At 39.0% G+C, this 25,840-nt stretch overlaps 1 long non-coding RNA gene across 1 annotated transcript in view, besides 1 other annotated feature; it reads right to left on the reverse strand.

Moving 5' to 3' along the window:
- Positions 623-1,600: an enhancer, noted in NCBI's record as "OCT4-NANOG-H3K27ac-H3K4me1 hESC enhancer chr2:188897853-188898830 (GRCh37/hg19 assembly coordinates)". NCBI's record gives its function as "activates a minimal SCP1, AML or CMV promoter by ChIP-STARR-seq in naive and primed H9 embryonic stem cells {active_cell/tissue: H9 hESC(naive and primed)}" and the evidence as "EXISTENCE:reporter gene assay evidence [ECO:0000049][PMID:30033119]".
- The window catches only part of LINC01090 (long intergenic non-protein coding RNA 1090), a 252,096-nt gene continuing 229,348 nt past the window's right edge, over positions 3,093-25,840 (reverse strand). The window contains exon 3 of the long non-coding RNA NR_126396.1: positions 3,093-3,208. This is a non-coding gene — a long non-coding RNA (long intergenic non-protein coding RNA 1090). The remainder of the gene's footprint in view (positions 3,209-25,840) is intronic.

A 25,840-nucleotide genomic window follows, 5' to 3' on the forward strand; every position in this document is an offset into this window, starting at 1 on the left:
AACAAACCCCAATTACAAGCCATCTAGACTGCACAGGGGAAGGTCCTGGGAAGCATAAACAAACTTTACCTATACCCTCCTATAAGTTCCTTCATCTGGCTGCTACCACAAACGTCACAAGGTGATATATGGCAAAGTTAACCAACAAATGACCCCAGGGTCTGTCTCCCCCATATAAACCCCTCAGGTTTATAAACAGCTCAGGACTGCCTGCTGTCTGTGGTGGAGCAGCCAGCAGGTTCAATAAACTTACTCATCTGACTTCGGGTCTATTCTTCCTTTCTCTCAACTGACCTTACAAGGTAGAGTTTGGGACAGGTTAGAGGGCTCATTTAGGGGAAATGTGGGAAAGTTTGGAACTTCCTAGAGACTTGGAAGGCCGAGAAGATAGGAAGATGCAGGAAAGTTTGGAACTTCCTAGAGACTTGTGGAATTGCTCTGACCAAAATGCTGAGAGTGACATAGACAATGAAGTCCAGGCTGAGGTGGTCTAAGATGGAGCTGAGGAACTTCTTGGGAACTGGAGCAAAGGTGACTCTTGCCATGCTTTAGCAAACAGACTGGCAGCATTTCCCCCCTGCCCTAGAGATCTGTGGAATTTTGAACGTGAGAGATGATTTAGGGTATCTGGTGGAAGAAATTTCTAAGCAACAAAGCATTCAAGAGGCGACAGATCATCAAAGTTTGAAAAATTTGCACTCAGATAATGATGCAGTAGAAAAGAAAAACCCATTTTCTGGGGAGAAATTCAAGCCAGCTGCAGAAATTTGCATAAGTAATGAGGAGCCAAATGCTAATCACCAAGACAATGGGGAAAATGTCTCCAGGGAATGTCAGGCACCTTCTCCACAGCCCCTCCCATCACATGCCAGGAAGCCTAGGAGGAGAAACTGGTTTCATGGGCTGGGTTCAGGGACACCCCTACTGTTTGCAACCTTGAGACTTTGTGCCTCACATCCCAGCTGCTCCAACTGTGGTTTAAAGGGGTCATGGTTGTCCAGCCTCTGAGCCCAAGCTAAACCATCATATCCCCTGTGACCTGCACATACACATCCAGATGGGCGATTCCTGCCTTAACTGATGACATTCCACCACAAAAGAAGTGAAAATGGCCTGTTCCTGCCTTAACTGATGACATTACCTTGTGAAATTCCTTCTCTTGGCTCATCCTGGCTTAAAGCTCCCCCGCTGAGCACCTTGTGACCCCCCCCCCAACCCCTGCCCGCCACAGAACAAACCCCCTTTGACTGTAATTTTCCTTTATCTACCCAAATCTTATAAAATGGCCCCACCCCTATCTCCCTTCGCTGGCTCTCTTTTCGGACTCAGCCCACCTGCCCCCAGGTGAAATAAACAGCCTTGTTGCTCGCACAAAGCCTGTTTCGTGGTCTCTTCACATGGATGCGAGTGAAATTTTGGTGCCGTGACTCGGATCGGGGGACCTCCCTTGGGAGATCAATCCCCCGTCCTGCTCTTTGCTCCGTGAGAAAGATCCACCTACGACCTCTGGTCCTCAGACCGACCAGGCCAGGGAACATCTCACCAATTTTAAATCAGGTAAGCGACCTCTTTTTACTCTCTTCTCCAACCTCTCACTATCCATCAACCTCTTTCTCCTTTCAATCTTGGCACCATCTTTCAATCTCTCCCTTCTCTTAATTTCAGTTCCTTCCCTTTTCTGGTAGAGACAACTCAGGAGATGCATTTTATCCATGAACCCAAAACTCCGGCGCCAGTCACAGACTCGGGAAGGCAGCCTTCCCTTGGTGTTTAATCACGTGGGGATACCTGCCTGATTATTCACACACATTTCAGGTGTGTCTGACCACGCGGGGACGCCTGCCTTGGTCCTTCACCCTTAGCGGCAAATGCCGCTTTTCTGGGGGACAAGAACCCCCTGACCCCTTCTCTCCGTGTCTCTACTCTCTCTTTTCTCTGGACTTGCCTCCTTCACTATGGGCAACCTTCCACCCTCCATTCCTCCCTCTACTCCCTTAGCCTGTGTTCTCAAGAACTTAAAACCTCTTCAACTCACACCTGACCTAAAACCTAAATGCCTTATTTTCTTCTACAATGCAATCTGACCACAATACAAACTCGACAGTGGTTCCAAATAGCCAGAAAAAGGCGCTTTCGATTTTTCCATCCTACAAGATCTAAATAATTCTTGTCATAAAATGGGCAAACGGTCTGAGGTGCCTGACATCCAGGCATTCTTTTACACATCAGTGCCTCCCTAGTCTCTGTTCCCAATGCGACTAGTCCCAAATCCTCCTTCTTTCCCTCCCGCCTGTCCTCTCAGTCCCAACCCTAAGGGTCGCTGAGTATTTGTAATCTTCCTTTTCTACAGACCCATCTGACTTCTCCCCTCCTCCCCAGGCTGCTCCTCGCCAGGCCAAGCCAGGTCCCAATTCTTCCTCAGCCTCTGCTCCCCCACCCTGTAACCCTTTTATCACCTCCCCTCCTCACACCCGGTCCAGCTTACAGTTTCGTTCAGCAACTAGCCCTCCCCGACCTGTCCAGCAATTTCCTCTTAAAAAAGGTGGCTGGAGCTAAAGGCATAGTCGAGGTTAATGCTCCTTTTTCTTTATCCGACCTCTCCCAAAATCAGTTAGCATTTAGGCTCTTTTTCATCAAATATGAAAAACCCAGCCCAGTTCATGGCTCATTCGGCAGCAACCCTGAGATGCTTTATAGCCCTAGACCCTAAAAGGTCAAAAGGCCATCTTATTCTCAATATACATTTTATTACCAAATCCGCTCCTGACATTAAATAAAACTCCAAAAATTAAATTCCGGCCCTCAAACCCCACAAACAAGACATAATTAACCTCGCCTTCAAGGTGTACAATAATAGAGTAGAGGAAGCCAAGTAGCAATATATTTCTGAGTTGCAATTCCTTGCCTCCACTGTGAAAGAAACCCCAGCCACATCTCCACACACAAGAACTTCCAAACGCCTGAACTGCAGCTGCCAAGGTTTACTCCGGAAATCTGGCCACTGGGCCAAGGAATGCCCACAGCCCGAGATTCCCCCTAAGCCGTGTCCTGTCTGTGCGGGACCCCACTGAAAATCGGACTCTTCAACTCACCTGGCAGCCGCTTCCAGATCCCCTGGAACTCTGGCCCAAGGCTCTCTGAGTGACTCCTTCCCAGATCTTCTCGGCTTAGCAGCTGAAGACTGACACTGCCCAATCGCCTTGGAAGCCTACAGGACAATCACAGATGCTCTGGGTAACTCTCACAGTGGAGGGTAAGTCCATCCCCTTCTTAATCAATACGGAGGCTACCCACTCCACATTACTTCTTTTCAAGGGCCTGTTTCCCTTGCCTCCATAACTGTTGTGGGTATTGACGGCCAGGCTTCTAAACCTCTTAAAACTCCCCAACTCTGGTGCCCACTTAGACAACATTCTTTTATACACTCTTTTTTAAGTTATCCCCACCTGCCCAGTTCCCTTATTAGGCCAAGACATTTTAACTAAATTATCTGTTTCCCTGACTATTCCTGGACTACAGCAACACCTCATTGCCACCCTTTTCCCCATTTCAAAGCCTCCTTCACATCCTCCTCTCGTATCCCCCCACCTTAACCCACAAGTATAGGACACCTCTACTCCCTCCTTGGTGACTGGTCATGCACCCCTTACCATCCCATTAAAACCTAATCACCCTTACCCCCCTCAATGCCAATATCCCATCCCACAGCATGCTTTAAAAGGATTAAAGCCTGTTATCACTTGCCTGTTACAGCATGGCCTTTTAAAGCCTATAAACTCTCCTTACAATTCCCCCATTTTACCTGTCCTAAAACCAGACAAGGCTTACAGGTTAGTTCAGGATCTGCGCCTTATCAACCAAATTGTTTTGCCTATCCACCCTGTGGTGCCAAACCCATATACTCTCCTAGCCTCAATGCCCCCCTCCACAACCCATTATTCTGTCTGGATTTCAAACATGCTTTCTTTACTATTCCTTTGCACCCTTCATCCCAGCCTCTCTTCGCTTTCACTTGGACTGACCCTGACACCCATCAGGCTCAGCAAATTACCTGGGCTGTGCTGCCGCAAGGCTTCACAGACGGCCCCCATTACTTCAATCAAGCCCAAATTTCTTTCAATCAAGCCCAAATTTCTTCCTCATCTGTTACTTATCTCGGCGTAATTCTCATAAAAACACACATGCTCTCCCTGCCGATTGTGTCCAACTGATCTCTCAAACCCCAACACCTTCTACAAAACAATAACTCCTTTCCTTCCTAGGCATGGTTAGATACTTTCGACTTTAGACACCTGGTTTTGCCATCCTAACAAAACCATTATATAAACTCACAAAAAGAAACCTATCTGACCCCATAGATCCTAAATCCTTTCCCCACTCCTCTTTCCGTTCCTTGAAGACAGCTTTAGAGACTTCCCCCACCCTAACTCTCCCTGACTCATCAGAACCCTTTTCATTACCCACAGCTGAAGTGCAGGACTGTGCAGTCAGAATTCTTACACAAGAACTGGGACCACACCCTGTAGCCTTTTTATCCCAACAACTTGACCTTACTGTTTTGCCTAGCCCTCAAGTCTGCGTGCGGCAGCTGCCGCTGCCCTAATACTTTTAGAGGCCCTTAAAATCACGAACTATGATCAACAGTTCTCATAACTTCCAAAATCTATTTTCTTCCTCACACCTGACACATATACTGTCTGCTCCCTGGCTTCTTCAGCTGTACTCACTCTTTGTTGAGTCTCCCACAATCACCACTGTTCCTGGCCCGGACTTCAATCCAGCCTCCCACATTATTCCAGATACCACACCTGACCCCCACGACTGTATCTCTCTGATCCACCTGACATTCACCCCATTTCCCCATATTTCCTTCTTTCTTGTTCCTCACCCTGATCACACTTAGTTTATTGATGGCAGTTCCCACCAGGCCTAATCGCCACACACCAGCAAAGGCAGGCTATGCTATAGTACAAGCCACTACCCCGCCTCTTAGAACCTCTCATTTCATTTCCATCGTGGAAATCTATCCTCAAGGAAATAACTTCTCAGTGTTCCATCTGCTATTCTACTACTCCTCAGGGATTATTCTGGCCCCCTCCCTTCCCTACACATGAAGCTCGGAGATTTGCCCCCACCCAGGACTGGCAAATTAGCTTTACTCAACATGCCCCAAGTCAGGAAACTAAAATACCTCTTGGCCTGGGTAGACATTTTCACTGGATAGGTAGAGGACTTTCCCACAGGGTCTAAGAAGGCCACCATGGTCATTTCTTCCCTTCTGTCAGACATAATTCCTCAGTTTGGGCTTCCCACCTCTTCACAGTCTGATAACAGACCAGCGTTTATTAGTCAAATCAGCCAAGCATTTTTTCAGACTCTTGGTATTCAGTGAAACCTTTACATCCCTTACCATCCTCAATCTTCAGGAAAGGTAGAATGGACTAATGGTCCTTTAGAAACACACCTCACCAATCTCAGCCACCAACTTAAAAAGGACTGTACAATACTTTTACCACTTGCCCTTCTCAGAATTCAGGCCTGTCCTCGGAATGCTACAGGTTATAGCCCATTTAAGCTCCTGTATGGATGCTCCTTTTTATTAGGCCCCAGTCTCATTCCAGATACCAGACCAACTTGGACTGTGCCCCAAAAAACTTGTCATCCCTACTATCTTCTCTCTAGTCATACTCCTATTCACTGTTCTCAACTACTCCTGCATGCCCTGCTCTTGTTTACACTGCCGGTTTACACTGTTTCTCCAAGCCATCACAGCTGATATCTCCTGGTGCTATCCCCAAACTGCCACTCTTAACTCTTAACGTAAATAAATAATCTTTGCTGGCAAGGCTATGCTGAACCTCCTTAGGCACTCTCTAATTAGATGTCCTGGGTCCTCCCAATTCTTAGTCCTTTAATACCTGTTTTTCTCCTTCTCTTATTCCATTTAGTTTTCAATTCATACAAAACCATATCCAGGCCATCACCAATAATTCTACACAACAAATGTTTCTTCTAACAACCCCACAATATCACCCCTTACCACAAAATCTTCCTTCAGCTTAATCTCTCCCACTCCAGGTTCCCATGCCGCCCCAATCCCGCTCGAAGCAGTCCTGAGAAACATCACCCATTATCTCTCCATACCACCCCCAAAAATTTTCGCCGCCCCAACACTTTACAACTATTTCGGTTTTTTTTTTTTCTTATTAATATAAGAAGACAGGAATGTCAGGCCTCTGAGCCCAAGCTAAGCCATCATATCCCCTGTGACCTGCACATACACATCCAGATGGCCAGTTCCTGCCTTAACTGATGAGATTCCACCACAAGAGAAGTGAAAATGGCCTGTTCCTGCCTTAACTGATGACATTACCTTGTGAAATTCCTTCTCCTGGCTCACCTGGCTCAAAAGCTCCCCCGCCAAGCACCTTGTGACCCCCACCCCTGACCACCAGAGAACAACCCCCCTTTGACTGTAATTTTCCTTTACCTACCCAAATCTTATAAAATGGCCCCACCCCTATCTCCCTTCGCTGACTCTCTTTTTTGGACTCAGCCCACCTGCACCTGGCTGAAATAAACAGCCTTGTTGCTCACACAAAGCCTGTTTGGTGTTCTCTTCACAGGGACGTGAGTAAAAATGGTACAGCTCAGGCCATGGATTCAGAGGGTGCAAGCCCCAAGCCTTGGCAGCTTCCATGTGGTGTTGAGCTTGCAGGTACACAGAAGTCAGGAATTGAGGTTGGGAACCTCCACCTAGATTTCAGAGGATGTATGGAAATGCCTGGACGTTCAGGCGGAAGTTTGCTGCAAAGGTGGTCCCTCATGGAGAACCTCTGCTAGGGCAGTGCAGAAGGTAAATGTGGGGTTGGAGTCCACACACAGAGTCCCAAATGGGGAACTCTCTACTGGAGCTGTGAGAGAAGGCCCACTGTCCTTCAGACCCCAAAATGGTAGGTCCACTGATCCACCTGTAAAGGCCACAGACACTCAGTGCCAGCCAGCTAAGCAGCCAGGAATGGGGCTGTACCCTTTGAAGCCACAGGGGCTGAGCTTCCCAAGGCTGTTGGAGTCCACCTCTTACATCAGTGTGACCTGGATGTGACACATGGAGCCAAAAGAGATCATTTTGCAACTGTAAGATTTGGTGATGCCCTGTTGAAGTTTGGACTTTCATGGGGCCTATAGCCCCTTTGTTTTGGCCAACTTCTCCCATTTGGAATGGGCATATTTACCCAATGCCTGTACCCCCATTTTATCTAAAAAGTAACTGACTTGCTTTCAGATTTACAGGCTCATAGGCAGAAGGGACTTGCCTTGTTTCAGATGAGACTTTTGACTTGAACTTTGGGATTAATGCTGGAATGAGCTAAGACTTTGGGGGACTGTTGAAAAGGCATGATTGTGTTTGTAAGGACATGACATTTAGGAGGGACCAGGGTTGGAATGATATGGTTTTGCTCTGTGTCCCCACTGAAATCTCATCTTGATTTGTAATTCCCATAATCCCCACATATCATGGGAGGGACCTAGTGGGAGGTAATTGAATCCTGGGAGCAGTTCCCTCATGCTGTTCATGTGATAGTGAGTGAGTTCGCACAAGAACTGATGGTTTTATAAGGGGCCTTTCCCCACTTCACTTGGCACTTCTCTTCCCTGCCACTATGGGAGGAGACCACCCCTCATATTGTCTTATGCCCAATTTCTGCCTCCAAAGAAAGAAGAAGTAAAAACTAAAAGGCAGAAATGAAATCCATAGGCAGGCAGCCCGACGCCACATCCTGGGCCTGGTAGTTAAAGATCGACCCCTGACCTAATCAGTTATGTTATCTATAGAGTACAGACATTGTATAGAAAAGCACTGTGAAAAATCCCTGTCCTTTTCTGTTCTGTTCTAATTACCAGTGCATGCAGCCCCCAGTCACGTACCCCCTGCTTGCTCAATCGATCACGACCCTCTCACGTGGACCCCCTCACGTGGACCACCTTAGAGTTGTAAGCCCTTAAAAGGGACAGGAATTGCTCACTCGGGGAGCTCAGTTTTTGGAGATGTGAGTCTGCCGATGCTCCCAGCTGAATAAAGCCCTTCTTTCTACAACTCAGTGTCTGAGGGATTTTGTCTGCGTCTTGTCCTGCTACACCACCAGGTGAAGAAGGAAGTGTTTGCTTCTTCTTCCACCATGATTGTAAGTGTGCTGAGGCCTCCCAAGGCATGTGGAATGGTGAGTCAATTAAACCTCTTTCCTTTATAAATTACTCAGTCTTGTTTATGTTCTTATAGCAGCATGAAAATGAACTAATACAGTAAATAAATAAATATATACATGCACACACACAAACACCATGACCAAATGATCAAGTCAAGTCTATTTCAGGGATAAGCGCAAGGTAATTTCAATATTCACAAATGTAAATCAATATTCACCACAACAGGTTAAAGAAGAAAAATCACATAATTATGCCAATTGATGCAGAAAAAGCATTTGAAAAAGTCAGCACCCATCCATGATAAATAGTTCTCAGAAAAACAGGAATAGAGAGAAACTTCCTCAACATGATAAAGGCATTAAAAAATCTATATCTAATTTAGCACTTTGTTGTGAACAGATGAGAAAGGAAAAAATAAAACTGTTCTTACTTGGAGATGGCATAATTATCTACATAAAAACAAAACAAAAAATCTGCAAGAAGATACCTTCTAGAGTCAATATGTAAGTTCACATAAATATATGAAAATAAATTGCATTTATGTACTAGCAACACACATGTCAAAATATCCAGTCAATAGTCTAGTCATGATATTAATATATAGTTTTACAAGATGTTACTATTGGGGAAAACTGGGTAAAGGAACAAGGGATATTTCCCTGTAATTTCTAAGAACTGCATATAAATCTACAATTACCTCAAAAGTTTAAATTAAAAAGGTGTTTAGTTTAACTGTTTACAATGGCCTGCTTCGATTTGGAGAAAATTTTACTCTTATTATTTCTTCTATTGCTTTAATTTTCTGCCTAATTATGTATTCACATTATAATCAGTAAAAAATATTTTACTTCAGAAAAAAAGCAGACAAAGTATGCAAAAACATAAAGAAAAACATCATAAAAATGCTTTATGAATAAATTATAAATTTCAGGTAGTGCTAGAAAGGGTAGTTCTTATACAGATATTTAAAGAACATGTAGATGTAACATGAATAGAATCAAAAAGGATTATCTCCATGGAGCTAAAGTAACATTTTAAGAAGAGCATACTTAAAATACATTTTAAAAAATAATTTTCTTTTAAAAAAAGAAACTTGGGAGCATTTTTAAATTTTCTTTGTACGTTAAACTGTGTGATTAATTAGAAATTTAGAAGATCTAACAGGGCAAATATCTGATTATCATATGAATATGGAAAGTGGGCAAGAAGTTACACTGAATATTCTGTTAGCTCTCAAGAGCAAGGGGAAAAACAATTCTAGAGATTCAGTCTTTGCAGTAGAAAAAACTAAACATACATTGCATCATTGTGTAGCAGAGTCTAATGTTAGAGAAGGCAAATGGAGAATCCCAACAACACCCACGTTATAGTTATAAATGAGTCTGTGCAATGGAGATTTTTGATTTTGATGTAAAATTTGGTACAGATGAATCGCTGAGGTGCAGTTTAAAGAAGGTATATAAAGTATGAATACTACAGTATCCTTTGACATTCCCTTTTTGAACATGCAGCTTCAAGCAGATATTTTCCATTCCAAATGAAGGAAACTAAATTCAAAATAGTTTAATCTAAACATGGGATGGATTGGAAGGATATAAGATAGCTGCAAAAATTAAAGGAAGAACTGCAGGAACCGGGCATCTCAGAGGCATTAGAGTATGAATCTGAGGATTTGTTCCTGTAAGACTCCTTCTGCTTCTTGTATACTTCTTGGGCTTTGTCACATGAAAAAGACTTGCTCCCTGAAGGGTTTTTTAGACTACATTTAATACTTGATATCCAAAAGAGAAGAGAGAATTCTTCCTGCTAGTTCTACTTAGAAAAACCCCACAGAACTCTGCTTTTCCTAACTTGAATCATGTGACTACTCCCATACTGGCAATTTGGCCAGATTAATGAATGCTAGCCATGACTCACCTCACTTATGTCACATATCCAACCTACAAGAAGGAGAGAGAAATGTTCTGGGCAGACTAAAATAATGTGTTCTACAGAGACAACATTATAAGCAGGATCAGAGGAAAGTGACATAAGGATAAACTGACTTGAGAAAGAAAGTGAGAAAATAGCCAGAGGGTTCTTTCCCTTGTTTTATTTTTGCCATATTTTTTCCACTGGGGCACTCAAATATTCTCTTCTTTTTTTGTTCATAAAAGACTAGCATTGAGAATTTCATTTAATTAGCCCAAATGTGTTAAATGAGAACGATTTCAAAAAATGGACTCTTTCCTTATTCTTAATTATTATAGTAAACATAAAAGCAAATCACACTTTTTCAGTATTGAAAATAAATAGTAGACACTAGATAACAGAGTACTTGGTAATAATTTGTGGGGAAATAATTACTATGGCTACGGTTTGAATGTATTTGTCCCTCCCAAAACTCATGTTGAAATTTAATCCCCAGTGCAACAATGTTGAGTGGTGAGACCTAACAGGAGATTTTTAGGTAGTGAGGTTCAATCCTCTTGAATGGATTAATGCCACAATAAAAAGGACTTGTTAAGTGGGTTCTTTCTCTTTTGCTTTTCTGCCACATGAGGATATAACATTTGTATCCATAGCAAGAAGGCCCTCACTAGACACCAGATGCCAGCACTTTAATATTTAACCTCTCAGTGGTTAAAAGGACAGTGAGAAATAAGTCTTTGTTCTTTACAAATTACCCAGTTTGTCATATATACCCAAAGGAATATAAATCATTCTATTGTAAAGACACATGCACATGTATGCTTATTGAGGCACTATTTCCAATAGCAAAAACACAGAATCAACACAAATGCCCATTAATGATAGACTGGATAAAGAAAACGTGGTACCTATACACCATGGAATACTATGCTGCCATGAAAAAAGAGAGTTCACGTCCTTTCCAGGGACACGGATGAAGCTGGAAGCCATCATCCTCAGCAAACTAACACAGGAACAGAAAACCAAACACTGCATGTTCTCACTCATAAGTGGGAGTTGACATTAAGAACACACGGACACAGAGAGGGAAACAATACACACCAGGGCCTGTTGGGGGTGAGGGGTGAGGGGAGGGAACTTAGTGGATAGGTCAATATGTGCAGCAAACCACCATGGCACTCGTATACCTATGTAACAAACCTAAACATTCTGTACATATATCCTGTTATTCTTTTTTAGAAGAAATAAAGAAAAAACATAAATTACCCAGTTTGTCATATTGTGTTATAGCAACATAAAACTAAGACAGAAGTGGGTACCAGGAGTTGGGAGTTGCTATGACAACTAAAAATGTGGAAGTGGCTTTGGAACTGGGTAATAAATAGAGGCTGAAATAATTTGAAGGAACAATATAGAAAAAACCTATATTGCCATGAACAGAGCATTAAAGGTGATTCTGGTGAGGGCTCAGAAGAGGATAGCTGTAGAGGGAGCCTAATTCTTAGAAGTTTTTCTAGGTGATTATGAACAGAATGTTCATAGAAATATGTACAGTAAAGGCCATTCTGATAAGGTCTCAGACAGAGATGAGGAACAAGACATTGGGAACTGGAGGAAAAGCCATCTGTGATGGTTAATATTGAGTGTCAACTTCATTGGACTGACGGATGCAAAGTATTGTTCCTGGGTGTGTCTGTGAGGGTGTTGCCAAAGAGATTAATATTTGAGTCAGTGGACTGGGGGAGCAGACCCACCCTCTGTCTGGGTGGGCACCATCTAATTAGCTGCCTGTGTGAGCAGGATAAAGCAGGCAGAAGAAATTGGAAAGAGCAGACTTGCTGAGCCTTCTGGCCTTCATCTTTTTCTGTGCTGGATGCTTCCTGCCCTCAAACATCAGACTCCAATTTCTTCAGCTTTTGGAGTCTTGGACTTTGTATTAGTCTGTTCTCATGCTGCTAATAAAGACATACCCAAGACTAGGAAAAAGAGGTTTAATGAACTCACAGTTCTACATGGCTGGGGGAGCCTCACAGTCATGGCAGAAGGCAAAAGAGGAAAAAGGCATGTCTTACATGGCAGCAGGCAAGAGAATGAGTGCCAGCAGAGGAAATGCCAGACACTTACAAAACCATCAGATCTCGAAAGAACTCACTATCATAAGAACAGTATGGGGAAAGCTGCCACCTGGTCCCCGCCCTTGACATCTTGGGGATTATTACAATTCAAAGTGAGATTTGGGTGGGGACACAGAACCAAACCATATCAGACTTACACCAGTGAATTGCAAGGGGCTCTTGGGCCTTCAGCTACAGACTGAAGGCTGTACTCTTGGCTTCCCTACTTTTGAGGTTTTGGGACTTGGACTGGCTTCCTTGCTCCTCAGCTTGCAGATGGCCTATTGTGGGACTTCATCTCATGATCATGTAAGTCAATACTACTGAATAAACTCCCTTTCATATATACATCTATTCTATTAGTTTTGGCCCTCTAGAGAAGCCTAACTAATACACAACTTTCATTGTAAAGTGGCAAAAACAAATAAATAAATAAATCTGGGCTGAATTTTGTCCAAGCCCAAGGGCTTTGTAGAAGGCAGAATTTAAGAGTAATGAACTGGGATATTTGGCAGAAGAAATATCTAAACAGCAAAATATTGAAGATGGTGCATGACTTCTTTTAGCTGCTTATAGTAAAATTCAAGAACTGGGAACAAAGAGGGAATTTGTAATTAAACTGGAAACAGAACACAAAAATTTTGAAAAATTTTCATCCCAGTCATGTAAAAAAAATTAAAAAGCAACTTTAGAAAAAAAAAAAAAGGCCGGGCACAGTGGCTCATGCCTCTAATCCAAGCACTTTGGGAGGCCGAGGCTGGCGGATCACCTGAAGTCAGGAGTTCGAGACCAGCCTGGCCAACATGGTGAAACCCTGTCTCTACTAAAAATACAAAAAATTAGCCAAGCGTGGTGGCGGGAGCCTGTAATCCCAGCTACTAGGGAGGCTAAGGCAGGTGAATGGCTTGAGCCCAGAGACAGAGGTGGCAGTGAGCCGAGATCGCGCCACTGCACTCCAGCTTGGGCTACAAGAGTGAGACTGTCTCAAACAAACAAACAAACAAACAAAACTAAGGGTGTGGCCAGAGATCATTTGATAAGGATATTAATATAAGTAGAAGGAATCCAGGTGCTATTCATCAAAACAATGGAGGAATGACTTTGAAGACATTTTGGAGTCTTTTGAGGCTCCAATGCCCATCACATGCCCAGAGTTACAGGGCCTTGAGGGCAGAAAGTTTTCAAGAGAAGATCCTAGGGCACATGTGTGACCTTGAGTCTCACTACCCAGAAACCACTTTAGATTGCTGCTGTCTGCATTCCAATGCAGTGCTTTTTGGCTTTTTCAGCTGTAGCTCAGGCATACCCAAGTGTGGCTCAAGCCATAGCTTCAGAGATTGGAAGTGGTAAGCCTTGGTGGTGTCTACATGCTGCTAATTCTGTAGGCACACAAAATTATAGAGAAATAGCTTCCTCTACCCAGATTTCAAAGGCCATCTCAAACAGCTTCAGGGCTGCCACAGACAGCCCTCAATAGGGTGATGTCCAGTGGAGTCGTGGGAGCAGGGTGCCCCAGAGATCCCATAATTGTGGAGCCAAATGTGTGCAACATCAGCCTGGAAGGGCCATAGTCACCTTACTTCAGCCTATGAGAGTGATACGAGCTGCACCCAGCAAAGTCACAGAAGCAGGTCTGACAGAGGCCTTGGGGCCCTAAACTTTATTTCAGTGTGTCCAGGACATAGAATCAAAGGTAATTATTCTGGATCTTTAAGATCTAACGTAGTTTGCCCTCTTGTGTTTTAGACTTACTTGGGACGTGTTGTTCCTTTCTTCTTTCCTATTTCTCCCTTTGGAATGGTAATATCCATCCTATGCTGTCTCATCATTGTATTTTGGAAGCATATAAATTCTGTTATTTCAGAAGCTCACAGCTGGAGGAAAATATGCCTCAGGATGAATCATGCCTGGAATCTCACTCATATCTGATTTAGATAAAACTCTGGATTTGGGAATTTTAAAGTCATGCTGTAACAAATTAAGACTTAGGCTACTGGAATGGAATGGATGTATTTTGTGTATAAGGATGAAATGAATTTGGGGGTGCCAAGGGCAGAATTCAATAGTTTGAATTTTTTTATTCCTTCCAAAACGAATGTTGAAACTTAATCCCCAAAGTAACAATGTTGGGAGATGGGAAGTCTTTAGGTTATGAGGGCTCAACCTTCATGAATGGATTAATTGCACTGTAGAAAGGGCTTGTGGGAGTGAGCTCTTTTTCTTTCACTCTTCTGCAATGTGAGATCACAGTGTTCATCCCTGCTTGCGCTTCTGCCTTCCACCACATAAGGAGGCAGCAAGAAGGCCCTCACCAGACACCACATGCCAGTGCCTTGACTGGGGACCTCTCAGCCTTCAGAACTGTGAGAAATAAATTTCTGTTCTTTATAAATTATCCAGTGTGCAGTATTTTGTTATAGCAGCACAAAATGGACTAAGAAAACCACCAAAGAAGTAAATTATTTTTGGAAATTCCAGGTTAAATGATGAATATGTGTTTAACTTTTTCTATCACTAATCACTTAATACAATATGAAAATTATTAACTAACAAATAGCTACAATACCACATTCACACAGAGATTTAATGTTAACCTACCAGGCTTGCAATACACCCCCACAATGCCTTACAAATTGTGGAACACAATTAATACCAAAGAGAGAAGCCAATGTTATAAGACTAATCTGAGTAATGGAAGTTGGGGATGTCTTTTGGAAACTCACGAATTTACCAGAAGTATTTTATCTGGAAAACTTTGTAACTATAAAAAGTATCATACATGTTTACTTTTTTCCCTAAGAAACACTATGTAATTTATTCACTATATTTCACTGGATTTAGAGATTTTACGTTTGGTAATTTGAAATATTTTGTTACTGGCAATAAAATTTAGAAAGGAACCTTTCTATCCCTTGCAGAGGGCTATTGGGATTTCAGTATTAGTATCTGGAAATCTATTTTCACTCCTTTTAAAAGGTGTTAAAAATAAATTTTCTAGTCAGAAAAATAGCCTCATGATTAAATGAATTAAAATATTCTCTGCATCTAGCAGATGCCATAAGTAATCCATTGTAAGTTTTTGCAACTTCGTTTCCACATACCTTATATCATCTAACACACAGCCGATTTATTACCTCACCATAGGAACTATAAGACATGAAAGACTTCAAGGTCTGTGTTAATGCCAATTCCATAATAGACTCAGCATGTTGTTAAGTGCTGGTCTATATTAACTAAGAGCTAGCAGTTTTTCTTATTTATTTTCAACATGTTAATGTGTTTTTTTTGAGATGGGAATGACTCATCTCAAATTCAGTCTATAGTGCAAAATGTAAGAAAAATTCCATAGGTAAAACTGTTATTTAACATAACAACAGAAGGAGAAAAAAAACAAAGCAAAAACCCAAAACTTGTATCAAAATTAAAAACCTATCAGATCTTTTCTTCATAATTACATAAGAATAATAAAATGTAAGAAAACTAAAATGCAAGTAATTATTGTTTTAAAAGTCATTCTGAGGGCATTATGAGTATTTATTTTAAGAGCAACAAGCAGTACAATAACTTTGTGAAAAGCAAGTGAAGATAGGTTTGGGAAAGTCCAAACTAAACCTCATCTAAGAAACATGTAGGGAGACTTATAAACAGAAATGTTTTTAGAGTTTCAAATAGCTGGGCTCTTTTACTACCCTCTTAATAGAAAAGTTATATATTATTTTGTTTGTGCTCTTTGAACATCCCTGACTCTTATATAGACACCTGAGGTAATTAGAATAGGTGATTATCACACCCAACTTAAATGTGAGAAAACTAACAAGTCTGTCACCGAAAGAATAGACTAGAACCAAATCTTTTAATTCTAAACATAATATGCTTCACAGCTCAATTTGCTCTCAAAAGTTTAGACGTAGAGACAGCTGTGTGAGACAATATTAATAACATTGAAGGAGATTAAATTTCTTCACCATGTATTAAATATTTCCCACAAAAATCTGTTTTATCCTATTCTTAATCAGTCCAAAAAGCCTCTCTCCTTTATGAATTAATTACTTGAAAATGAGTAGTACAAAAATTTGTAAAACATAAGATGTCACTAGAATGCTTTTAAATGATAGTTACTCCTTGTTTATCTCATGATTTTTTAAACATCAAGTGTCATAATTCCTATAGGTCACTATCCCATTTCTTACATTCTAATTAAATTATACAGAATTAAATTAACATAAATGTTCAAAGCAGAGGACACACCCAGATTTAGAGATTATATGAGTTCATCAGATTTCAGAATTTCTTTAAAAGATTAATTTCTTACCAACATATGAAACTCTTGTTATCTAGTGAAATGCTAATTGTTTTGATTTTTATAAAGTTCATATTCTAGTGACTCCAAGATAGGACATTTGGTTACATTAACACATATCAACCCAGATATGTGCTAAAACAAGGGTATTTCATAAAGGGTGTAATACTAGACACCTGACAGTGGTATTTGCTCAGTTCTACAAAGTTTTATAAACAGTGAAAAGATTCATTGTCAGTGTTTGCTTTATCTACAAGAGTGATTACTTTAAAAACTGATTTAACAATAACCAGTTGAAATTTTTTGTTTGTTTTTATATTTCCCCAGGTATCAAAATACTGTATGTAATTGAGGGATGGAAATAGTTGCATTTGTTGCTTACCTATTAAGTGCCAACAACTTTATTAACTTTACACATTTTTATCACATTTAAACATTCCACTGATACCAATCTTTACTCCTTAAAAGATTTCTGGACATATCACAGATCAAGTTACCACAAAGAATCAGGAATCTACGTTGGAAAATCATTTCATTCTTTAGGTAGTTACAATAATGTTATCCCACTAAAGCCCTTTGGCTGCCTCAAATCTTGAACAAAATTGCAACAATACAGAGAACGTATACAACCTTTAAAGAAATAACTAGGTAACACACACAGAGAGAAATGACCGTTAGCATATGGACAATGAACACTGATGTTTCTCATTCATTTTAATTATTCTGCCATCTAAATGCCAATTTCCACAGGTGGAGGGCTTGGTGGGTATGCAGGATTGATTATGAAGTGGTAGCTGGCTGCTCCTAACTGTTTTGTGCCAGTTAACAGTTTTCCTGGAATTGACTGCAACTAATACCCACTGCATTTATCTTCTCAAGAAAATATGGCATCCTATTCTAGATAAAATGAAAAAAACAAACAGCTACTACCCAAAATATTTCTCAAATTGAAAATACTGTGTAAAGGATAATTTTTAAAACCCAAGAAATAATACTGTAGTGATGTGACATACTAAAAAGACTTTCTGTTAGTCACAAGCAGTCATTCTTTCATTCTGAATAATCTGTATTAAACAAAAATTAAACAAATAGTGCCTGACGGGTAGGAAACATCAAATATCTTGTTATGGATTGAATGTTTGTGTACCCCCTCATGCTCATATATTGAAGACCCCCAGTGCAATTATGTTTAGAGATGAGTTCTCTAAGAAAGTAATTAAGGTAAAAGGAGGTCATGAATGGATCCTTGATCCAATAAGATTAGTGTCCTTATAAGAAGAGACACTAGAGAGCTCATGTGAGCACACAGCAAGGTGACAGCCATTTGTAAGCCAAGAAGACCCTCACTAGAAATGGAATTTGCTGTCACCTTGATATTGGATTCCTCAGCATCCAGAACTGTGAGAAAATAAATTTCTATTGTTTCAGCAATGCAGTGTGTGGTATTTTGTTATAGCAGCCTGAGAAGATTCATTATATGTCTTCTTCCCATATACTCTTTTTTTTTTTAAATAGGAGGCCAAGATTTTTAGTGTTCTCTTGAGGAACAATCAGATAAGCATATCTTGAAAGAGGAAGCTGACAGTGTTACAATTTGAATATAGACTAGAGTGAGGTAACAAAAATAACAAACAAATAAACAAAAAAGCCCCCATGTTTATTTCTCATTCAGTTAACCAATGTTTATTTAATACTGCTATGTATTGGACCTGATCTATATATAAAAATAAGCTAGATCGAAATAATATGTCAAAACTCTAACCCACAAGAATGTTGCAGTAAATGAACAAACAGCTGTAAGGCAATATGAACAGATAAAGAATGTGCCAAGGAGGCAGAAAGGAATGAGCAATTAATTCTGTTGGTGTGGGTTTTGTTAATGTTTTGCAGAAGAGGTGGTATAAGAGCTGAGTCCTTTAGGGCATTGCCAGAATAAACAAGGAGGAAAGACAATTATAGGCAATGGCCTTGGGGTTTGTAGCAACATCTTGATGAGAGGGCAGAAATGAAGAGAATTCTTAGAATAAACTGTCGCTAGAATTATCCATATAATTCACTGAGACTGATTATATTAAGGATCATCTTTCTTTCTGCAGAAGAAGGAATGCTTAAGTAGGTTCACCAGGTTTATACCACAGGAATGAAGAGGATAGTCTCTGGCTGAGATTTTCAAAAATAAACTGGCCGCCCATTTTGAGGTCCCAAATAATACATTTGAGAAGCCTGTCCACTCAGTTAACATCAGTCATCATCATCTATTTACTGATTCCCTGTGTTAATTTGTTTCACATTAACTCACAGATTGCCCTTGACAAATGATTCCTCTTTTGTATGCCAGACACATACTTACATACATACATCCACACATAGAGAATGAAGAGAAAGGAGACCCACATTCAGAGCACTGCTTTTCTTACTAATGTCATCAGATCTAAGATGGTTTGGTGTAAAATCTTCCTTTGCTTTAAGTTACCTAAATGGGGTTTTCATATGCTAAGCACCCAGAAGCATTCAAATTGAGAGGGCCGTTTTCCTCAAAGTTTAGACTATTCAACTTTATAGAGTAGGCTCCTTCTTCTCATTGATATACCTAATCACCCAAGATATCAGGTTTTATTAACATATTGAATAATCAGTTTTGCCTATTTGTTTCATTAGGGTTTACCTAAAGAATTCTAACTATATCCCTTCATGCGTGAAAAAGAAATTTGTAGTCAAATATGTTTAGGAAACACTAAACTAAGCACAGTTAAACAGGTTTTCTTACCCAACATTTCCAGAGTCCCTACTATGCCATATACTAGTATGAATTATGGATCTTTATGGGTGGATGACATATAGTGTATGGTATTTTCCACTTTTGGCAGAAAAATTGGGTGAGCTAACTTTCTGTAAGAACAGATAGTGGGGATGACTTCACTGTGGTCCTCTTAGCTTTTCTCTAGTGGCCCCAGAAAAATTATCACTAAAGCAGTCTGGTTAATCTTCACATGGCTCTTATTTGTCCTTAATTATAAATGGTAACAGTATATAAACTAGAAAACATTTGAGAAATTCTTTTCAAGTACTCTGAATAAAGGATAGAATAAACTCATTTTCTTAGATTTTATAATAAATGGGTCCTTCCTAGTAAATGATCTCTGTCCTCACACTGTTAAAGTCGCATTAGTTCAGCTGAATGAAGGTCCCTGAGGCAAAAACAATAAATGGTTACTTTCTCATTCAACTACAGCAAGTTGACCTTCAATAAAATATGATACTTAAGATTGATAGTTATTGCTGATAGAGCTAAAAAGTAGTGGCAATTTTTTTTCCTTAGGGTGCATACATGCAAAATATATTGAATATATTTATTTAAAAATATAATCAAGTAGAATAAAATGTTAATCTATGTAACTGCTGGGAAACTGAGGAAAAATCATCAAATATTCACTTTATTAATTCATAATATTCTTGATGTAATAAAATTGTATTTAATTCAGGAGAATTAAATTCTCATGAAATTTAATTACTCAATTATGCCATAAATCGAGACAACCTGAAGTATGGCTGACATTTGGAAAAAGAGAACAGCATTGAGTGAGGTCTTTTTTCTACATCTCCTTAACTGAGGATAAGCACTGGTCACTGCCATGTGGGGTGGCTAAAATTCAGATACAGCGTATGCAGTATTGCATAGGAAGTATTGGCTTGAAAAAAATAGAGGGCAAAGTTTAGGGTCCCCATAGTAATGGGAAAGGAAAGTGTTACTGAAACCCCAGGGGTTCAGTCTAGGCCCTGCTACTTGCTGCACAGAAATCCAATCACTAAAACAGTGAGTATTGCCAGGAAAGAAGGCTTTAATCTGGTGCTGCAGCCAACAAGATGGGAGATTAGTCTCAAATTCATCTCTCTGACTAACATTAATTAATAAAATGTTGTGTAACAATATGAAGAGCTCTCTTGTACATGTAATTGGAGTCCTAGATGGAGAAAATGAAGAATATAGAACGAGTATTTATTTGAAGAAATAGTAGTCAAAATTTTCCCAAAGTTGTTGAAAAATATTTACAAATTGAAGAAGCATATAAAATAAATAAAGATATATCCAAAAAGCCCACTATTGAACTACATAGTCAAACTGCCAAGGATAAAGGCAACTGAAGAAAAATGAGGTACTACGTACAGTGGAACAATTATATGAATGTACACTGATTTCACATCTAAATTATGAAAACTAAAAGACATGAGAAAACTTAAAAATGATGAGAGGGGAAAACAACCAACCATAACAACTGCATAAACAAACAAGCAAAAACCCTCAACTCATAATTTTAAATCCAGAGAAAATATATTTTAAGAATAAAAGTATAGATATTTTTAGACAAACAACACTAAGACATTTCACCGCCAGCAGATTTTCGGTACAAATGAAACTAAAGGAAACTAGGCGGGCTAAAGGAAAATTATACCAGATGGAAACTAACTCAGGACAAGATGAAGATAACCAGAAACACCTAATATGTGGATACTGTTGGCTGTAGCGTAGATTTAAAAAAACAAACACACAAAAGGAATACAAAAAAAGAGTTAATATTTTAAGACATCTATACACGGAGATAGCAGAGTTTGGGGTCCTTGGGTGGTTCTGATTTATTTTTTATGTTGATTGAATTCATCAGAAAATAATTTGACTTGGTAGTTCATGTTTATATTACCTTATATTAATTAATATTTTTGTCCCTTTCATTTTTCTCATTGTTCTACCCCATCCCCTTAAAAATTACAATAAATTTTTAAGAAGTCCACACATTGAAAAATCTGTAAGTTATATTAGACAGGAAGTTATGTAGTAATGAAGCTAAGTGAAGCTCTTTGCTCAAATTTAAATGTAACCAGATGACCTAAGTAAATATATTAATTGAATTAAAATTTAATTTGTTGTAGAGCTATCCTTTGTTTAATTCTGTATTTATAGGTTAACTAGTGCTGTAAATCTGTAAAACAAACCAAAACAGTACATAATGCCATACCTCAATCTTTACTTAACACAAACATCAACTCCAAATTAAATAAATGTTGTACTAAAACCCATTAAGTGTAGCAACGTGAGATCTATCAGGAGAAATATAAAATAAACAGTGATAAATCATTTTAGTAATAAGATGTCATTTTATATCTTACTACCGAAACACAATTCCTCTAAACTGACAAATGAATCTATTATCTTAAAAATGAAGGCAAATGTAAATTCTAATCAACTTTGAAATCTCTTTCATTTTTCCCATTATTTAAGTATTCTTGTGTTTCCAGTTAAGTCATATTTTAGAAAATAAATAAATAAGCATTTTTAGATTGAGAAATATGAATTCTACTTTATGATGGCACAGATTAGCAGAAACATGAAGAGGAAGAAAAAAGTACAGTTGATGTAACAATATGGCTCAAAGATTTTTTAAAAACCCTCTGTTTTCTCAAGTGACCACTGATTACTTGAATATATCTACCTCACAAGCTTTGAACATTAAATTTTCTCATTCAAGAAACTGGTGTTAAACGTATTTGTACTATTCACTCCACATGAGCTTTCTGAATATCGTATGAACTAATGGATAACTAAATAAAGATTAAAAAGCAAAACCTTGGTGATCTTTTAAAATGTATTCCTGTATTGTCAATTTTATGTGCACACAAATACACACATTTTTATTAATGTAAATGTTTATTGTGAATAGTTTTTATACACTATGGGTTTGATTTATTTTAGCTAATAATTCTTTGATCTGTCCTTTAGATTTCCTTTATGAGATAAAATATGAATGACTAGGTGCAAAAAGATACCTGGGCCAGGTGTGGTGGCTCACGCCTGTAATCCCAGCACTTTGAGAGGCCGAGGCAGGCGGATCACGAGGTCAAGAGATCGAGACCATCCTGGCCAACATGGTGAAACCCCATCTCTACTAAAAATACAAAAATTAGCTGGGTGTGGTGGCGTGTGCCTGTAGTCCCAGCTACTTGGGAGGCTGAAGCAGGAGAATTGCTTAAACCCAGAAGGTGGAGATTGCAGTGAGCTGAGATCACACCACTGCACTCCAGCCTGGTGACAGCAAGATTCTGTCTCAAAAAAAAAAAAAAAAAAATCTGTGCATAGATCCTAGTGTCTGGAGGGCAGAGCAGAAACCCAACTCTTGTAAAACAGATGTTCTTATCATGAAGGTCCAGAGATAGATAAAGGGGACCCAAGGACACATGGACCCAGTACATTACATACAGAAATATTTGTCTGCACCTATGTTCATTTTCTGTGATATATCACAGAAATAACAAAATTCCCAATGACATTTTAGGGACAATTTGATTAAGAACCTAAGAGAATAGATTATTATTCAATTGGTGGACACTGTTGGTTAAAAAAATGACTTTGAAAACTGTAAAGCATTATACAAAAAAACTATCAATGGCAGTGTCTTGCATTGTCTTACATAAGTAGATACTCATACATATCTATCAGGTGAATTAATATTATTTAGGAAGCAAGTATGACATATTACATACTTTCCCCATGATCTATAGTATGTAATACATAAGTAGTAGAACAAGAGACAGAGCTTTAACACATTAAGCACCAGCTTTTATCTATGTATTACAACTTGTCTTTCTATTCACAGCTAAGCTCCTGTTAACTAAAGTTAGACATTAGTTAACTGGATTATTAATGTCTTCACATCACATTTAAGACGACAGTTACCTTCTCCACTTAATAAGGTACTTGAACTGTATAAACAAGCTGTTTGCGTATTGTACCCCAGGAAGAACTAGAGTCAACCCTCTAAGCTTGCAATTATCTCATTATGTCTGTAAATATGGAAATGAATAAATTCAAGGAATAACTAGGTATACTGTAAACTTGTACTTTGCCATTCCTTTCCAGGGTGTTATACAACATGTTATTTGATGAGCAAGAGAGGAAAATTAATTGTATTTTCAGCTTCTTCTGTGTAAGGTTCTTATTCTTGGGTTTCATTCATTTGTTTGATATTGAGTAGAATACTTCACATAACTCACTGCTTCACCTCACTCATGGGTCTCAATTCCGCAGTCTCCTGAGTGAGGCAAGAACCAGAAATGGAAGTTGCAAGGCCTTGAATTACTCGCTTTATTTGCTCACCTTAATATTCTACCCTCCCTACCAGTCTGCACAATGAAATCCAATTCCACTCCTGTGCCTATCTTGGTCCGTGACCCTACTTATAATTATTTAGCTGGCCAGGCTTGAAGACACAGCCCTAACTTTCTCTTTAGCCTGCTTATTTTCAAATGTCCATGTTCAATCACTCTTCTGTCAGCATAAGTGAGAATTGGTGTCAGGAAACAGGAAAAGAAATAGTAATAAGGATCTTAGTCAAATGGTTAGAAATTTTTGGAAAATTATATAATGCTTTCAGTTAATTATCTCTAAGCACTTGGATTAGGGCTCACCTTTCTTTTACAATGATCATTTTTATTTCTAATTTGTAATGAATATTTATTTATTTTATAGGAATAATAAAAGAAAGAAAATCATTGTTCTTAATTTTTTTTTTAGACAGAATCATGTCTGTAGGGCCAGAGGTAAAACTGAGAAGCATTATTAGAGTTTTCAGATTAATCTTGGAAAAAACTTCTAAATCATCCTACTTCAAACAATTAATGCCTGGCCTACCATGGCCCAAGTAATTAGAAGTATATTTCCAATAATTAGGTTTAATTCTACTCAGGCTTTAGATGATCTATTTGGAGGCATGGATAATTGGGACTTGATTACATATAATATGTAATATATATGAAATTAAATATGATATTTAGTAAATTTATGCTAATAAATTATATATTGTTTGCATATACTATAAATTAGTATCTGTTTGTATATATACCAAAATTTTCAGCAAATATTGGCATTTAAATCTCCTTATAAAAATAATACTGTTGGTCAAAAAATAGAGTATTTTCTTATTTATAACTTCAAACAATCCTCCCAGTCCTATATAGAAGAAAGCAAGCCTTCTTAGTTCATTCATTTCTCTCAGAGTAAAGCAACCATTGTTTTTTCCTGATTTAGAGGAGTAAGGTAACTCATGAGACGTTCCATGTAATCAGCTAGTAAATAGCATTTATTCTGAATTTGTAAACAGTACTTATTTTGAATTATATCCTAGAGATTAAGTATTGGCCAGTCAATTACATTTTACTGTACTATACCCAAATTACCAGGATTGATTTGTTCGAATTTAGTCGCTAAGTAAATATTAACACTTCCCCTCAACAGATCTGCATTGCCACCAACTCCCTACTAGGTACTCTGCAAAATCATAGCCAATCCTTAATGACAACAGAAAATAGCCCTCAGCAGTGGGCCCCCAAGATTTCCACACTGTCCACAAGACAGAATTGATTGCTATTTCTTGCCTCAGCTATTCAATGAGTAAATGAAAGCAAGAGAAACAAGCTAAGAAAGAAATACTATTTCCCCATTAATACTTTTAATATATACTCTTGAACTAAATGTTAGTAGAAATACGAATGTTAAGGGTGCTTTGGGGAAAGGCTCAGAAGGAAATAAGAAAAATGTCACTGGAGAAAGAAGAAAGATGATCTTTCTTATATAGTCAGAGAAAACATGGCTTAATTGTGTCCTACAGCTAGGTAGAAAGCAGAACTTGTAAGCTGATAAGCTTAGATATTTAGCTGAGAATTCCAAACAAAGTGTTGAAGGTGTGGCCATGTTTCTTCTGTTGCTTACAGTAAAATGTAGGAAGAACAAGACAAATTGAGAGAGAAAATTTTAACCAAAAAGAAACCAGCATTTTATAACGGGAAATTTTTCAGCCTAGCCAGATTGCAAAGAACACTAAATTTAACCTCACTGTTAGGAAAGTGTGCTCTGGAGAAAAAGCAAAATGGACGGCTAGACAAGCATTTATAGGATTTATAAGATTTATAAATCCACTCAAACACCTCAGCAGAAGCCAGGAAAAGAGATGGGATAATCCAAGAAATATCTGTGGAGGACCCTCTTGGCTCATTGTGTGACTCCCCATGACATACACAGAAGACCTACAAAATTTTTGAAAATATTGTATCAGCAGAAACACTATCAGTTGGACTGACAGGGACAGAGAGAGGACAAAATGAAGAAAGTTGTCAGATTTCCAAAACTCTACAGGATGGAAACAGGTTGATATTACTATTTGGCTGCAAATATTTTCTGTTCTTCGAGAAATACCCAGATGAGTGTGCCACAGGTGCAGAGACCCACAGAGACATGGGTGCAAAGGCCTATGGAGCTACA

This window comes from Homo sapiens, chromosome 2, assembly GCF_000001405.40.
Source record: "Homo sapiens chromosome 2, GRCh38.p14 Primary Assembly".
NCBI lineage: Eukaryota > Metazoa > Chordata > Mammalia > Primates > Hominidae > Homo > Homo sapiens.